At 44.3% G+C, this 17,999-nt stretch overlaps 1 protein-coding gene across 23 annotated transcripts in view; it reads right to left on the bottom strand.

Moving 5' to 3' along the window:
* Positions 1 to 17,999, bottom strand: part of SYTL3 (synaptotagmin like 3) — a 119,936-nt gene that overhangs the window by 82,426 nt on the left and 19,511 nt on the right. For 19 of the 23 annotated variants that reach the window (XM_006715606.4, XM_047419556.1, XM_011536254.3 and 16 more), the window contains one exon: positions 16,833 to 17,051. In XM_006715606.4, the coding sequence (XP_006715669.1) occupies positions 16,833 to 17,051 (219 nt within the window). Of the gene's footprint in view, positions 1 to 16,832; positions 17,060 to 17,999 lie in introns of those variants that run through there. The other 4 variants (XM_006715611.4, XM_047419561.1, XM_017011496.2 and 1 more) reach the window with 2 other exon arrangements.

Here is a 17,999-nt window from a genome sequence, read left to right as displayed (position 1 = left end):
GGAGCTTGCAGTGAGCTGAGATTTCGCCACTGCACTCCAGCCTGGGCGGCAGAGCCAGACTCCGTCTCAAAAAAAAAAAAAAAAAAAAAAGTGAATGTTAAGCATATTAACATATACTTGTGCCCAGCACGAATCCAGTACTTAATATTTTGTGAACAAATACACAAAGAGAAACAAAATTATTATCATCAAAATGACCAATGTATCAGCCAGGCGCGGTGGCTCACGCCTGTAATCCCAGTACTTTGGGAGGCCAAGGTGGGTGGATCACTTGAGGTCAGGAAGTCGAGACCAGCCTGGCCAACATGGCAAAACCCTGTCTCTACTAAAAACACAAAATTAGCCAGGCATGGTGGCACATGCCTGTAATCCCAGCTACTCGGGAGGCTGAGGCAGGAGAATTTTCGCTTGAACCTGGGAGACGGAAGTTGCAGTGAGCCGAGATTGCACCATTGCACTCCAGCCTGGGTGACAGAGCAGGCCTCCATCTCAACATCACCACAAATGACCAATGTATCATGTCAACTGTGGGACGCTCTTGGCACAAGTGATGGGCTACAGGAAAACTCGATGTTATGCATTGGGCTTGGAGGGAGATCAGCTGTAGGTTAAGCTAAGGTTAGTTTGTGTTTACAACATTCTCCAAGAGCCCACAGAGCAGGGTTACCTGAGAAGATTCTTGGGAGGACCTGAAGTATGGAATATGGGATCAATGTGTGTTGATGGAGATTTGGGGGCTTAAATCTGAGTGGACAACTTGTTCTTGTTGTTGTTGTTGTTTTTCTGGTGGCCCAGGCTGGAGTGCAGTGGCACGATCTCAAGTCACTTCAATCTCCCCCTCGTGGGTTCAAGCAATTCTCCTGCCTCAGCCTCCAGAGTAGCTGGGACTACAGGTGCCCGCCACCACACCCGGCTAATTTTTGTATTTTTAGTAGAGATAGGTTTTTGCCATGTCAGCCAAGCTGGTCTCGAACTCCTGACCTCAGGCGATCCACCTGAGCAGACCACTTGTGAATCATGGGAAAGGAGCCCTGTTTGGCCCACTGGTCTGACAGCAGCTCCCTACGGCAGGACTTTAACTCCTACCATCTTAGTCACATGCATGACAGCACAGAGGGCACTCGAGACGCTAACTGCTCCAAACTGACGTCCTAACATGGGTTTTCCTCTTGGTTTTCTGGGGGAATCCATACTCAACCTCAATCTCAGAAAGGCAGAATTGTTAATATCCTTTTAGGATATAAAAAGGCAAACATGTAAATATTATAAGATCTTCACATCCTTAAAATAATGTGCCACAAAACTGGCCAATTCCTTTGTTATGCAAATTTAAGAAAAAAATTAAAACTTCAACTCATGACTGATTCTCTTCTATAAATTACAGTATTGACTGAAATAAATTCTCCATTAGGTTCTTTCAGGCTATACATGAACTCAAGTGGATTTTTTAGAAAATTAATGCTTGCTAATGTAAGTAAAATCACAAATATATGCCAATCTGCACGTTTTTCAAAATATGCTATCTTTCTCTATGAAGTGCTAGTAATTGTGAGAAGATATCAACTAACTTTCTCTCCTTCATCTGGTTAGACACTACTATTTTCTGATTAGTACATAAATGATTACTACCAATACTTAGTGACTAGAACAAGGAAAATATAGAAAGAGCATTTAAGAATTTCATAATTTTTTTTGAGACAGGGTCTGGCTCTGTTGTTGAGGCTGGAGTGCAGTGGCGCGATCTCAGCTCATTGCAATCCCTGCCTCCCGGGCTCAAGCGATCCTCCCACCTCAGTCTCCTGAGTAGCTGACACTAAAGGCACGTGCCACCACACCTGGCTGATTTTTGTGTTTTTTTTTTTTTTTTTTTGTAGAGACGGGGTTTTGCTATGTTGCCCAGTCTGGTCTCAAACTGCTGAGCTCAAGCAATCCACCTGCCTTGGCCTCCCAAAGTGCTGGGATTACAGGCATGGGCCACAGCATCTGGCCTATAACAGAATTTTGGTAATCAGTCATTACCATTCAGAGCCAAAAATATATAAAGTGTACAACTGTGATATGTCTCTACAAAGACAGGGAAAAGTTTGCATCCATAAAGTCAGAAACTCAATTATCTAATCCCCTACATCAACACAAAACACCTTAAGGCAGTCTCAGCCTCTAGGCAGAAGTTTTCCCCTGGAGTACTTGTGGGAAGCAGAACATAAAAAATCAGGGCAAGTCCAGAGGGAGTCATGGGTGGTAAATTCCCATGCCTTTGAAGGGCTGCACCTCTCCATATTCAATTTCTAAAGATGCCTCTTCAGTCCTGGCAAACAGAACAAGGTCTAATCCTTAGAGGAGGGGACAGAAAGCAAATCCAAAGGGCAGGAATTACAAGGCCCCCGCCTGATAAACGCACCTTACTTGCAGAATTGCCTTTCTGGTGAGTGACCCATTTCAGCTCATCTCCTCTCTCACATGCTCCAGCCCGTTACCACTGGGCCCAAAATATCCATATCTGAGACGCTACAGTCGACTGAGCTAATCAGACAGGGGGACAACATCGATAAGTAAACACACACACAGACAGACATACAATCACAGAAAATGAAAAACAGCTAAGGTGAGGGAAGAGCAAAAGGTGAAAGTGCCTAAGTGAATGAACATTGCAAATCATTGAAAGGACTCCAGCCCTGGTTTCAGAACCTACACAAGTAGTAGATAAATTAAAATCCTAGTCACCCAGCGCGAATCATCTAATAGAACCATCTAATCTCATTTAATTCCAACTGATTACTTGTGCAGTTTAAACAGGAGCTAATTTGGCATATAGAGATTTGGGCATAAACTCGAGGATCTCTTGGGCCTATCTGTGATTAAAGAATAAAGTAAAAATACCACAGTATTTTTATCCCTAAACCATATGACAACCAGCACTTTTTGCATTTGAGACTGCTTGCTTTGAATACTAGGTTTGGCCCGGGTGTCCATTACCCTTTCTTGCAAAATCAGCATCTTCATAAGCAATTATTCCACAATATCTTTTGTAAGGACTCCCTGTCTGCACTAATCCCAAGACTTTTTTTTTTTCTTTGAGACAGGGTCTCATTCTATCGCCCAGGCTGGAGTGCAGTGGCATAATCTCGGCTCACTGCAGCCTCAACCTCCCAGGTTCAAGTGATCCTCCCTCCTCAACCTCCCAAGTAGCTGGGATTACAGGCATGCACCACCATGCCTGGCTAAGTTTTGTATTTTTTGTAGAGACAGGGTTTCACTATGTTGGCCAGGCTGGTCTTGAACTCCTGGCCTCAAGTGATCTGCCTGCCTTGGCCTCCCAAAGTGCTGGGATTACAGGTGTGAGCCACCACACCCGGCCTAATCCCAAGTTTACAAAGGAGGACCACTCACTGCCCTTAGAGTCTATGATAGAGGTGATAGATCCTGTAGTCTCTGTCCATGTTAGGGCCAACACAGGGTAGTGTGATTCATTAGTAACCAAAGAAAGCATCTAGCACTTCTTCCCAGGTGATTAAATCAGAATGAGGTTATGAAAGTTTCTTGGAAGATTTATGAGTTCAGCAATAAATTTGTGCCCTTAAACTTTTCAGAATCATGACTCACTTCTTTAAAAATTTTTTCAATTAGCCCATAAATATATCTCAAAAGGCAAAAGCCTAGGGTGGTGGGGAGGGCCGAAGCTATAGAATCAGGAGACCTGACCCATGACTGACCTTCACATTAACTGCATGAGGATCACTAGAATTACAAATGCCAAGCACTGGATGCCTAGATGGCTCTTAATAAACTTCTGGGGTTTTCAGCATCCATTTTCACAGCCCTGAATTCTGTTAATGCTGTCATTTCATTATCAAAGGAGAAATAACTGTTGAAAAACACTTTGCAAATTCTAGCACACAAACGTTCAATAAGATGAATGGAGGACTCTACCAGAAAATATTTTGACCTCATTACTAACACCAAGCAGTGAGCCAAACACACGTGTTGTAATGCATTTTGCATCTAAATTGCTTGCATCTGCAGGTGGCTAAGCTACTGCATCTACACTGTATGTTCCAAGAAAAGTCAGCATGATGTCCCTAGAGTTGCTTAACGTATTTTCACCATTCAACTGACAAGAAGTAGAAAATTGGTCTGCACAGCCAGGATTCTTCAAATCCCTAAAGAAGCACATCTCCTGTGCAGAACTGTTCTCCAACCAGTACCCCAGTGGCAAGGAGGTCTCCAGAGATCCTTTAGACACATGAACTACAAAAACTTCAAATCAAGAAGTCGCATTGGTGGGACACGCCTGTAATCTCAGCACTTTCGGAGGCCGAGGCGAGAGGATTGCTTGAACGCAGGAGTTCCAGACCAGCCTGAGCAACATCCCTACCAAAAATACAAAAATCAGCCAGACATGGTGGTGCACGCCAGTAGTCCCAGCTCCTCAGGAGGCTGAAGTGGGAGGACTGCTTGAGCCCAGGAGGTGGAATTTACAGTGAGCCAAGATTGTACCACTGCACTCCAGTCTGGGCAATAGTGTGAGACCGTCTCTCAAATAAAATTAAAACAACAACAACAACAAAAGCAGCAGCAGCAGAAGCTGCATATTGTAAAACTGAGATCAGCCTAATTTTTTCATGATAGTTTGTCCAACTGCTCAGTAACTCCCAGCTAAATTAGTCCTATGCAAGCATACAGTTGGATTTTTATTTTTTTTATTTCAAATAGTCTTTTTTTTTTTTTTTTTTTTTTTTTGAGACAGAGTTTCATTCTTGTCACCCAGGCTGGAGTGCAATGACATGATCTCGGCTCACTGCAACCTCTGCCTCCCGGGTTCAAGTGATTCTTCCGCCTCAGCCTCCCAAGTAGCTGGGGTTACAGGCACCCACCACCACAACCAGCTCATTTTTTTTTTATTATAAGTTTTAGGGTACATGTGCACAACGTGCAGGTGTGTTACATATGTATACATGTGCCATGATGTTGTGCTGCACCCATTAACTTGTCATTTAGCATTAGGTATATCTCCTAATGCTATCCCTCCCCGCTCCCCACAACATTCCCCGGTGTGTGATGTTCCCCTTCCTGTGTCCATGTGTTCTCATTGTTCAATTCCCACCTATGAGTGAGAAACATGCGGTGTTTGGTTTTTTGTCCTTGAGATAGTTTGCTGAGAATGATGGTTTCCAGCTTCATCCATGTCCCTACAAAGGACATGAACTCATCCTTTTTTATGGCTGCATAGTATTCCATGGTGTATATGTGCCACATTTTCTTAATCCAGTCTATCATTGTTGGACATTTGGGTTGGTTCCAAGTCTTTGCTATTGTGAGTAGGGCCATGATAAACATATGTGTGCATGTGTCTTTATAGCAGCATGATTTATAGTCCTTTGGGTATATATCCAGTAATGGGATTGCTGGGTCAAATGGTATTTCTAGTTCTAGATCCTTGAGGAATCGCCACACTGTCTTCCACAATGGTTGAACTAGTTTACAGTCCCACCAACAGTGTAAAAGTGTTCCTATTTCTCCACATCCTCTCCAGCACCTGTTGTTTCCTGACTTTTTAATGATCACCATTCTAACTGGTGTGAGATGGTATCTCATTGTGGTTTTGATTTGCATTTCTCTGATGGCCAGTGATGATGAGCATTTTTTCATGTGTTTTTTGGCCGCATAAATGTCTTCTTTTGAGAAGTGTCTGTTCATATCCTTCGCCCACTTGTTGATAGGGTTGTTTGTTTTTTTCTTGTAAATTTGTTTGAGTTCATTGTAGATTCTGGATATTAGCCCTTTGTCAGATGAGTAGGTTGCAAAAATTTTCTCTCATTCTGTAGGTTGCCTGTTCACTCTGATGGTGGTTTCTTTTGCTGTGCAGAAGCTCTTTAGTTTAATTAGATCCCATTTGTCAATTTTGGCTTTTGTTGCCATTGCTTTTGGTGTTTTAGACATGAAGTCCTTGCCCATGCCTATGTCCTGAATGGTATTGCCTAGGTTTTCTTCTAGGGTTTTTATGGTTTTAGGTCTAACATTTAAGTCTTTAATCCATGTTGAATTAATTTTTGTATAAGGTGTAAGGAAGGGATCCAGTTTCAGCTTTCTACATATGGCTAGCCAGTTTTCCCAGCACCATTTATTAAATAGGGAATCCTTTCCCCATTGCTTGTTTTTGTCAGGTTTGTCAAAGATCAGATAGTTGTAGATATGCAACATTATTTCTGAGGGCTCTGTTCTGTTCCATTGGTCTATATCTCTGTTTTGGTAACAGTACCATGTTGTTTTGGTTACTGTAGCCTTGTAGTATAGTTTGAAGTCAGGTAGTGTGATGCCTCCAGCTTTGTTCTTTTGGCTTAGGATTGACTTGGCAATGCAGGCTCTTTTTTGGTTCCATATGAACTTGAAAGTAGTTTTTTCCAATTCTGTGAAGAAAGTCATTGGTAGCTTGATGGGGATATAAATTACCTTGGGCAGTATGGCCATTTTCACAATATTGATTCTTCCTATCCATGAGATGGAGTCTCGCTCTGTCGCCCAGGCTGGGGTGCAGTGGTGCCATCTTGGCTCATTGCAAGCTCCGCCTCCCGGGTTCACGCCATTCTCCTGCCTCAGCCTCCTGAGCAGCTGGGACTACAGGTGCCCACCACCGCGCCCGGCTAATTTATTTTTGTATTTTTAGTAGAGACAGGGTTTCACCATGTTAGCCAGGATGGTCTCGATCTCCTGACCTCATGATCCGCCCATCTTGGCCTCCCAAAGTGCTAGGATTACAGGCGTGAGCCACTGCGCCCGGCCATTTTTGTGTTTTTAGTAGAGATGGGATTGCATCATGTCAGCCAGGCTGGTCTCGAACTCCCAACCTCAGGTGATCCACCCACCTCGGCCTCCCAAAGTGCTGGGATTATAAGCGTGAGCCACTGTGACCGGCCCTACTTCAACTAGTCTCGCATCTAAAATGGTTCATAGTTACAAAGCAAAATACTCGTTTTTTTCCACTAGCTCAATTGATCTGATTTCCACATCCTTACAGGAAAAAAAAGACTGATCATTGTGATTGAATCCTAGGTAACTATCAAAGGAGTCAGAGAATCAAGATGAAGATAAAGAAAGGGTTTTTATCAAGCTGTTACCAACACTTCTTACAAAACACGAATAACTCTCCCTTGCTTAACCTCAGAGAGAAGGCAGGTGCCCCCCTCTCTGTCACATCCAGTGCTATATTCACAGCTACAAGCTCTGGCCAGGCACATTACAGCCCCAGTGAATGAATGAATATCCTCCCCTCCGCAGGGGGGCATCCTTAGAATTAAAGAGATAAGGTGGGATCCAAAATAGGTGTAGCCTTGTAGCAGTGTGCACTGAAATTGAGTAAGTCTAACATTTAAGTCTTTAATCCATGTTGAATTAATTTTTGTATAAGGTGTAAGGAAGGGATCCAGTTTCAGCTTTCTACATATGTACATAGAGTAGGTGTCACACCCTCTAACTGTGTCGGGCAGGGCCACACACTGAGGGCCCAAGCAGAAACTGTAAATGAGGGAAGGGGGCTGGGAGGGGAGACAACAGGGAGGGGTGGGAACTTGCTTAACCAGAGGATACACACCCATTTTGAAGCACTAAAATGATCAATATTAAACACTGCGCAGGTCAGAACAAACAAGGTCTGTGCCCTGTCTGTCGTCTGTTGATGTCAAGTTTGTGACTCCTGGTCTGTTATATCAGATAACCAGTCAATGAAATTAGGAAAAATTCTACTGCAGCTGGACAGAGCCGTACTTGTTTAAGGCCTTGGCAATAAAAACGGTTAGATGCTGTGCCCCGACCTGTCCTCTCCCTGTAGACCTAAGAAGGGGGATCCACCACGACAGAGGGGCGATGAGAAGGCCGAAAGCAGGAGCACACGCTCTCTGTGGGCAACCGCTCAACCTGGCTTTCTAAAGAGACAACCAAGAGCTTCCGATAAAATGCCATAGTCAGGGTACATGGAGTCCAGAAGACCAGGCCAGCAGCCTCTGTGACCGTGCATCACCGTGGAACCAGAGGGAACTTTCAGAAAGCAGTCAGCCTCCAAAAACATTTAAGACCCACCTCTGAGAAAAAGACACAGCAAGATAGAAGGAAGAGCCAGGATGAAGAGACGGTGGGACTACAATAAGGGAATATTTCATAAACTAACAGAGCCAAAGCAGAATGAACTGTTTCATCAGCAGAAAAGAGCAGAAATGGCAGGCTAGAAAGTTGAATCTGTGAGGCTGACTTGGCAGAGACACTTGCCAGAATGTGAAAGAGAAAGAAAAAGACATTAAATGTTGAGGGAGAAGATTATCATCATCATCATCATTATTATTATTATTATTATTATTATTATTATTATTTTGAGACACAGTCTCACTATGTTGCCCAGGGTGGACTGCGGTGGTGCGATCTCGGCTCATTGCAACCTCCAACTCTCAGGTTCCAGCGATTCTCCTGCCTCAGCCTCCGGAGTAGCTGGGATTACAGGCATGTGCCACCACATCCAACTAATTTTTGTATTTTTAGTAGAGACAGGGTTTCACCATGTTGGCCAAGCTGGACTTGAATTCCTGACCTCAAGTGATCCGCCCAGCTCGGCCTCCCAAAGTGCTGGGATAACAGGTGTGAGCCACCACGCCCGGCCCGAGGAAGAAGATTATTAATACAAAGAGAAAAGGAAGCCAACTTATGCCTTCAAAGCTGTTCCTGGCGGGGCGTGGTGGCTCACACCTTTAATCCCAGCACTTTGGGAGGCTGAGGCAGTGGATCACGAGGTCAGAAGATTGGGACCATCCTGGCTAACATGGTGAAACCCCGTCTCTACTAAAAATACAAAAAATTAGGGGGGCATGGTGGCCAGCGCCTGTAGTCCCAGCTACTCGGGAGCCTGAGACAGGAGAATGGCGTGAACCTGGGAGGTGGAGCTGGCAGTGAGCCGAGATCGCCCCACTGCACTCTAGCCTGGGCAACAGAGCAAGACTCCGTCTCAAAAAAAAAAAAAAAAATGCTATTCCCAAAGAAGCTGTGTAAGTGGCATGAAAGCATCTTGAGAACAATCAGACTTGACTGAGGAAAGCATGACTGAGTTAAACCGAAATAAAAACCCAGGAGACCCAAGAGGGAGCAGCTCAAAAGAACGGCCCTTAATCCACAAAAACATCATTCCCAGACACATATTAGAAACTGTTTTTAATAAAAAGGATACAGAAAAAAAAAATAACTGGGCATGGTGGCTCACACCTGCAATCCTAGCACTTCGAGAGGCCAAGGCAGGAGGGTCACTTGAAGCTAGGAGTTCAAGACCAGCCTGGATAACATAGTAAGACCTTGTCTTAAAACATATCTATATCAGCCAGATGTGGTGGTGCGTACTTGGAGTCCCAGCTATTTGGGAGGCTGAGGCAGGAAGGTCTCTTGAACCCAGGCGTTGGAGGCTGCAGTGAGCTATGATCACACCCTGTACTCTAGCCTGGGTGACGGAGTGACACCCTGTCTCTAAAAAAACTAACTAGGTGAGGTGAGGTGGCTCACGCCTGAAATTCCAGCAGTTTGAGAGGCCGAGACGGGCAGATCACTTGAGGCCAGGAGTTTGAGACCAGCCTGACCAACAAGGTGAAACCCCTATCTCTACAAAAAAATACAAAAAATTAGCTGGGTGTGGTAACACACACCTGTAATCTCAGCTACTAGGGAAACTGAGGCAGGAGACTCACTTGAACCCAGGAGGCGGAGGTTGCAGTGAGCTGATATCGTGCCACTGCACTCCAGCCTGGGCGACAGAGTGAGACTCAGTCTCAAAAAAAAAATTAAATTAAAAAAATTAAAAACCAACTAAATAAAAAGTTTTAAAAGAGAATAAGGCTGCAGTCTCTGCCAAAAAAAAAAAAAAGAAACAAAAAAACCAGTATGTTTCTTCTACATAAAAATCAGGAGATAAACAATGAAATAAAAATAAAACTAGCATCAGCTGTCTCCATAATGTTAAATTCCAAAAGGCAACATGGCTGCATTTACTGAGTAAACAGTGGCAACCCAGGACTTAAAACCCAGTGAAATCATTCCTCATGAAGGAAGACCACGGAAAGCAACTCTCAAATACGCAATGACGTGGAAAATACACCACTCACAGTCCTCTCCTGGGGAAAAACTTTTTTTTTGAGACAGTCTTGCTCTGTCGCCCAGGCTGGAGTGCAGTAGTGCAATCTCGGCTCACTGCAACCTCCGCCTCCCGGGTTCAAGCAATTCTCCTGCCTCAACCTCCCAAGTAGCTGGGATTACAGGTACACACGACCATGCCCACCTAATTTTTTGTATTTTAGTAGAGACAGGGTTTCACTGTGTTGCCCAGGCTGGTCATGAACTCCTGAGCTTAGGCAATCTGCCCACCTCGGCCTCCCAAAGTGCTGGGATTACAGGTGTGAGGAAAAACTTCTTAAGGAGGCAATTCAAGTGATTGAAAAATGAATCAAAATAAAGAACTTGCAAACTGGGAAATCATGGTCTCCAAAGACTAGCAATGAGCACTTGAATCAGTTATAAAATGCAAAGTTGGTTTAAAATATTGTTGTAAATATAATCAGAAAACACTGAAGGTAACAAAAATAATTATGGAAAGAGATGCTGTATAACATATAGATAATAATTATAAAAATATAGAGGTTTCAAAATGATTGGCTAAATAATTTAAATAATTATCTTTTTTTTTTTTTTTAGACTGAGTCTCGCTGTCAGCTCACTGCAACCTCCGCCTCCCAGGTTCCAGAGATTCTCCTGCCTCAGCCTCCTCCAGAGTAGCTGGGATTACAGGGGTGCGCCATCATGCCCGGCTAATTTTTGTATTTTCAGTAGAGATGGGATTTCACCATGTTGGCCAGGCTGGTCTTCAACTCCTGACCTCAAGTGATCTACCCGCCTCAGCCTCCCAAAGTGATGGGATTACAGGCATGAGCCACCGATAAAATTATCTATAAACCATTCTTGGTGTGAACCCTGGATGCTAAACTGTCTTGGCTACCATGCAAAATGCCAACCCAGAAAAACTCTCTTGGGGCTCCCCTCCCTTACAGGGTGACAGGTTTCAGCTGAACTACGTAAGGTGACAACAGAGAATATTAACAAAAGACAATGCGCAGAAAGCTCACCGGTTCTCAAAAAGGTTTTAAAGGCAGGACTTTCCCTAACTAATCAAGTGCTGACTACAGAATACAGTTCAGTTTCAACAAGAAGAATGACACACACACTATTGTCAAAGCATTCCCTTTAGTAAAACACACACACTATTGTCAAAACATTCCCTTTAGTAAACACAAAAGAAACTTTTTTTTTCTAAAAAGTACTCCATAGGCCGGGCGCCGTGGCTCACGCCTGTAATCTCAGCACTTTGGGAGGCTGAGGCGGGCGGAACACTAGATCAGGAGATCAAGACCATCCTGGCTAACAAGGTGAAACCCTGTCTCTACTAAAAATACAAAAAAAATTAGCCGGGCTTGGTGGTGGGCGCCTGTAGTCCCAGCTATTTGGGAGGCTGAGGCAGGAGAATGGCGTGAACCCAGGAGGCGGAGCTTGCAGTGAGCCGAGATCATGCCACTGCACTCCAGCCTGGGCGACAGAGCGAGACTCAGTCTCAAAAAAAAAAAAATACTCTGTACATTTCTTTTTTTTCTTTTTTTTGAGATTGAGTCTGTCGCCTAGCTTGGAGGGCATTGGTGTGATCTCCGCTCATTGCAACCTTCGCCCCCCGGTTCCAGCGATTCTTGTACCTCAGCCTCCCAAGTAGCTGGGATTACAGGCGCCTGCCACTGTGCCCGGCCTAATTTTTGTATTTTCAGTAGATATGGGGTTTCACCATGTTGGCCAGGCTGGTCTTGAACTCCTGACGTCAAGTGATCCACCCGCCTCAGCCTCCCAAAGTGCTGGGATTACAGGCATGAGCCACCATGCCCGGCCAGCAATGTTAAAAGTAGGATTTAGAGGGAAAAAAAGAAATAAGGTTTTGAAACAGGAAAGAGTCAGTAGACAAATATCATCTTAACCTTGGCACCAGGCTAAAATCTTTCCTTGCCAACTCTCCTGTATCACACTTGGCATTCAATTTCTTTTCAATCTTTTACAGAGTTAGCAGAGTTAGACCTTTTACTCACTTGAAGGGTAGATATATTTTCAAGAGTGAGAGTGAATTATCCCATTCTCATACACTAGTTATTTGCCTTTGTGAATATAAAATGATAATTCAATATTTTATCAAAACATGGGATTATAAAAGTACTGGGAAAACCAGTCTGAAATTTAAAAGATTACATTTTCTAAAATCTGGGAAGTTTACTTTAGGCAGAAACATAATTAGAATAGAACTTCCTTTGAAATGTCACTTCATTTTCAATAAAAATTCTTTCATGCAATGCAGAAAATACAATGCATCATCCTGTAACAATATCTTTACATCTTAAGTCCTTATCTGAAATGCTGAATGACAACAACAACAACAACAAAAAACCTTTTTAAGTTGTTTCAGAGACGAGGTCTCACTATGTTGGCCAGGCTGGCCTCAAACTCCTGGGCTTATGTGATCCTCCCGCTTGGGCATTCCATGAGTAACTGGGACCACAGGCATACACACCACATCCATGACCTCGTGGATGACCACATCCAGCTCACCTCCCTTTTGATAAATTCCAAGATCTTATTTTAACCACTACTGCTCTGCAGCAATAACTCAAGACCCAACCTGAGAACTAAGGACATAATAATAAAATGCCAAGGTCTGGATCAATTTTTCAACCGAACACACTTAAGCAGCTCTTTGTTGGCATCAGGTGTGGTACAAGAGACAAATTTGAGCAATTCAGGAAAGTACCCTGAAATCAACAGTATCACCTGCTGCAACTTGAAACCTTCTGTTCTAATGATGGTATATAAGCTCCGTTGCACCTTTATCATTGTTAAAATACTTGCAACTTACAGAATTCTCTGTACAAACCAATTTGGTTCTAAAGCACCTGACTGGCAGCAAAATGTTCCTAACGAAACAGGCAGTGTGTCCACAGATACCTGAAGCTGAAGAATCATTGATTTGTTGTCACAGCAATTACAAAGCATGACAAGAAGATCACAGTTTGAAGGAAACAAGTCTGAACAAGAGTAATTCCTCAGCAATCTTAAGGGAGAAGACCAGGTTTCTTTTAGATGTGGAATTAGTTATGACACAGTATATTCGTTTTAATAGAAAAAATTAATGCAAACATAAATCATCAAGGTTAATCTTATTTTTTTGATGAAGCTAAAACAAACATACAAAGCATAGTCTCCTCCTTGATATTTCAACATAATTGTTACCATCTGCCATTTCACTGCAGAAAGTGTCAATACATTCCCCGGGAAGAAACATCAGTGGAAAACAAGGATGTTTCTGCTTTTAACTTCTTTGTTTCTCCTCCCAAGTCACCCTCTTCTGATCGGCCCCTGCTGAGGACAACAGGAGCCCCTTCACTACTGAAAACAACTTTCCTTGGTTCTTCTAAGTCCTTTCCAGTGTGCCTTTGATTACTGGGCTCTTTCTGTTCCTTCGGTTCTCGGATGCCCCGTGATCCAGTTCAGCATGCCAAGCGACCTGTCTGGCCAGTCCTCAGAATCACTTTTCACCTTTCTCTTTTATCCCCTGTAACCAAGGTCCATCCTCCCCTTTTCCTGTCTCTCCCATTCTCCATCACTATTGCCACCAGCCTCCTCCCTCGGTGCCTCTCATTCACTGCAGCAACTCTCAGATTGCTCTTTTACCTTTACCTTCCGCTCTCCTGATCTTGCCCTGCAAAACCAGGCAGACTTTCGGCATGGTGTTCGCTTGGCAAAGAGCACATGCTCAGGCTCCAGCTCCTACTGTCTTGGAGGCAAGCTCTTCTAAGTGGCTTTTAAGACTCTGCCGGCCGGGCGCAGTGGCTCATGCTTGTAATCCCAGCCCTTTGGGAAGCCCAGGCAGGTGGATCACCTGAGGTCAGGAATTCGAGGCCAGCCTGGCCAACATGGTGAAACCCCGTCTCTGCTAAAAATATAAAAATTAGCCAGGCGTGGCAGCAGGTGCCTGCAATCCCAGCTACTTGGGAGGCTGAGGCAGGAGAATCGCTTGAACCTGGAGGCAGAGGTTGCAGTGAGCCGAGATCACACCACTGCACTCCAGCCTGGGTGACAAGAGTGAAACTCTGTCTCAAAATAAATAAATAAATAAAAGACTCTGCCCTCCCAGGACAAGGCTCCTAGCAGGCGGGAGAGGACTGGAGATTCAGAAGGAGGCCTGGGGGCCGGGGGGACCTGGGTTGCCATCTTCACTCTGTTCTTACTGATATGACATGGACAAACCATCTTGTGTCTCTAATCCTCCACTTTCTCAACTGTAAAATGAGGATGAAAGTAGTAGCTACCCCACACGATTGTTTTATGCTTTTAATAAAACATTAAAAGACTATTCCAACCATGGATGTTCTGGAAGTCGTCTTGAGCCACTCAGCCTGCCTCATCTCTCCCTCTCTGAGCTCCCAGGGCCCTTAGCAACTTGGCACTCAGTTCTCTAAGAGAAAACCTTCCCTGAAGACAGAAACTTTATCTTAAATGTCTTCTGGAACCTCTCAACACAAGATCAGGGCCAACACCTGCCACAGGCCTCTTGTTCTGCAGCAACCTGCGAGTTGGTTGGTTGGTTTTGGTCATTGCTACCCTAGCACTTCCCCTTTCTTGATTTTAAAAACCAATTTTCCTCATCTTGTTCCTGTCACAGATCCACTTTTTCTTGAGAAATGAGCCTGAAGCGAAGGAAGAAGCAGGGGAGACAATGATCGGGGTCAAAAACCTTTTCTAGGTCCCCAGATGTGCGACAGTTATGAATGTCAAAGATTCTAAAGTTTTACAAAGTCTCATCTTTCTTTTGGTCCTAAAGAGGAGGAGGACAGCCCAGACTGGATAAAGCTGGAGAGAGGACAGAGGGCTGCGGGGACAGGGAGCAAGGCGAGGGGAAAGAAAATGCACATCACCACAAACTACTTGGCTCTCTCCCCTCCCGACTTCTCCTGTTAATGCACTCATAGTAATGCAATGACCTTAAGTATTTTGAAAACCAACCTCATTTCAAAATAAGGAAGCTGGGGTTTTAGAAGTCGTATTTCATGTACTTAGAGGGTAAAGTTACAGTGCCTGGGACACAAGACTCACTAGGGCAGAGATTTCAACACTGTCAGCTTCCTGGGAGATTGCCTCAGACCTTGTCCTCTTGTTTTGATTTTTCGTTTACAGTTCATTGGTAGAAGAAGAAAAAATGCTGAGAAATGTAACACCCTGCCCAGCAATGTTTATTATTAGACTTCAAATATATATGGTTGGTTGAAATGGGGAAGAAGATACTGAGACCTTTCTAGAGATGATTTGGAATTGCTCTCTATGCCGCCAGGGCAGCTCACAGTAATTATTTTTTGCTCTCAAGCAAGGAAAAGCCTGAAGGACAATGGCTTCAGCAAACCAAAGAAACATGAGATGAGAAGGCGAATTCGGCCACCGTCCGTGCGACTTGGCACGCTGTGAGCGAAATGGACGGAATGCAGTTCAAGAGCAAAGAAATCAGGTTGAACCACTTCACCTCTCTGGCTAGATGACTGAAATACAGTAAGCCTTGCAAAGGGACAGGACACTTAAGTAAATGAATGCCAGGGCGTGCGTTAAACACAGCCCTCCGGATTTAGGGGGAAGAAACCCCAGCCACAATGCCCACACTGTGTAAGTGCCTCCCACAGTCTTTGTCCCTGGGGCACTCACACATCTGTGGCAATATTTAGAAGTTGTTTTCAAATCTCAGGGTCTCTGATGACTCCCATTCACACCAGCCTAGTATTCCTTCCCTTCTCCGAAGTTCTGTGATGTCCTTGTGCACCGTCTCCCCCAGCAGACGGAGTCACCCCTCTAGTGTTTTCACGGAGCTCATGGCCAGTTCATTCTTGCTTTGAACAGCAGGAGTCTAAGCCAAGTTGGCTCTTTATCGTTTTCAGAATGGGGAACGCAAAAACACCAATTCCATGTTAAAACTGGTATTAAAACCCCCTAAACACCAATTGATAACTATAAACGTAGATTCAGTCTGTCACTAAAGGGAAGCATGTCCATTTCTTTAGCTGAGTATTAAAGACAGGTCAGCTTCAAAAACGCAGTATTTAAAGCCTCAGATGATTACTCCAATATTCCCTAGATTATAATTTACTCCACTGGTACTGAAGGAGATAAATTAAGTGCTAAGAAAATGACAGCACTTAGTTAAGAGACCCAAATGAATCTGAACTCCTGGGTTAGCCCATCCTTCGACTTAACAAACTTTTGTTGTTTAAACAGGTTCTCACTCTGTTGCCCAGGCTGGAGTGCAGTGGTACAATCACAGCTCCCAGGTTCAAATGATCCTCTCATCTCAGCCTCCTGAGTAGCTGGGACTACAGGCATGCACCACCACACTTGGCTAATTTTTGTATTTTTTTGTAGAGATGGGGTCTCACTACGTTGCCCAGGCTGGACTCAAACTCCTGGGCTCCAGCAATCCACCCACCTTGGCCTCCCAAAATGCTAGGATTACGGTCATGAGCCACCACACTTGGCCCAAACTTCTGTAAATGAAAAAAATGTTGCTACATAAAATTTATTTTTGGATGAAGATAACTTCCAAGGCTAGAAAGGTAGCTCCCTATCAGGCACTCGGTACACATTTACTGGCTGAAGGTGAGGAGTGAGTGCTCTCTTTATGAGCGGTTTGTAAAGAGGCCTCCTCCGAGACCTGAATCAGTGGGAGGGATCCAACCACCGGCCATGCTTACCTGTCCTCGAAGCACACCGTGCACTTCCAGGCATGGGTCCCCCTCAGGAACACTCGGCACTGGGCACACACGCGGTGGCTGCAGCCCCGGCACACGGCGCCCCGGTGCAGCAGGAACCCCAGCACCTGCTGGCAGCGCGCACAGCACTTCTCTTTGTGCTCCCAGTCCGTGTTCTTCGCTCCTTTCCACCGGAGATGCTGCAGGTGTGTTTTCAGTTTCCTGCAGCCCTCAGAGTTAAAGAAGATAGTATTAGATGGAACACCTGACCCCAGGCTATAGGGCAAGAGCCCAGGCAGTAACCCCCATGGCAAGGGAAGGGGCTTTGGCATTCGACATCCCTGGACTCCAACATGGCTGTGTGAACTGGGCTCTCACTCAACATCTCAGAGTCGAGTCTCAAGGGTTTTTTCAACCGTGAAACAGGTGATATGACCTTACCTCCCAGGGTTGCTGTGAGGACTAAATGGCAAAGTATAAATAACATGCCTGGGGCAGAGAAGCTCCCTGCTAGGTCCATCCCTTCCTGCCCAAAGGCTGTTATGATAGTAAGCAAGAATAGTGAAAGGAGAGGAAAAGACACTGAAAGGAGCATCCATTCTAATCTGCAAGGCATGGAATAATCTAGAAACACACAGCATACATCCTGCTATGGGTATAAGTTGCCCAATAAAATCAACTGATGCTATGCTTTTGCTACATTTTTTTTTTAATAAGTGGTCAGCCCACTCCCCTAGACAAATAGCCATAGTGCAAAGAGATACTGTATTGGACCAAAAAGGTGTCATTTACTAGCACGCTCTTTTATGAATGTCTGTGATACCTACTTGTAGAAAAGATGAGCCAATCCCAAGAAACAAGATGACATCAGAAATGCACTTTAAAATTCAACTTTCAGGATCTACCCTAGAATTAGTACCCTTTGAAATACAACTTTGTTATCACTATGTCTATGTCACTTTGTTAATATTCAAAAGGATGTCTCAAATCACTGAAAGATCTTTCATCATCAAATAAAATTTCACTTTTCTCACTGTATTATAGTTTTTGTTTTCGTTTTTTTGTTGTTGGTTTGAGACAGAGGCTTGCTCTATTGCCCAGGCTGGAGTGCAGTGGCGCGATCTCAGCTCACTGCAAACTCCACCTCCCAGGTTCAAGGGATTCTCCTGT

This window comes from Homo sapiens, chromosome 6 (assembly GCF_000001405.40).
Source record: "Homo sapiens chromosome 6, GRCh38.p14 Primary Assembly".
NCBI lineage: Eukaryota > Metazoa > Chordata > Mammalia > Primates > Hominidae > Homo > Homo sapiens.
The sequence above is the reverse complement of the archived record's forward strand: the minus strand, read 5'-3'. Positions and strand labels throughout refer to the sequence as shown.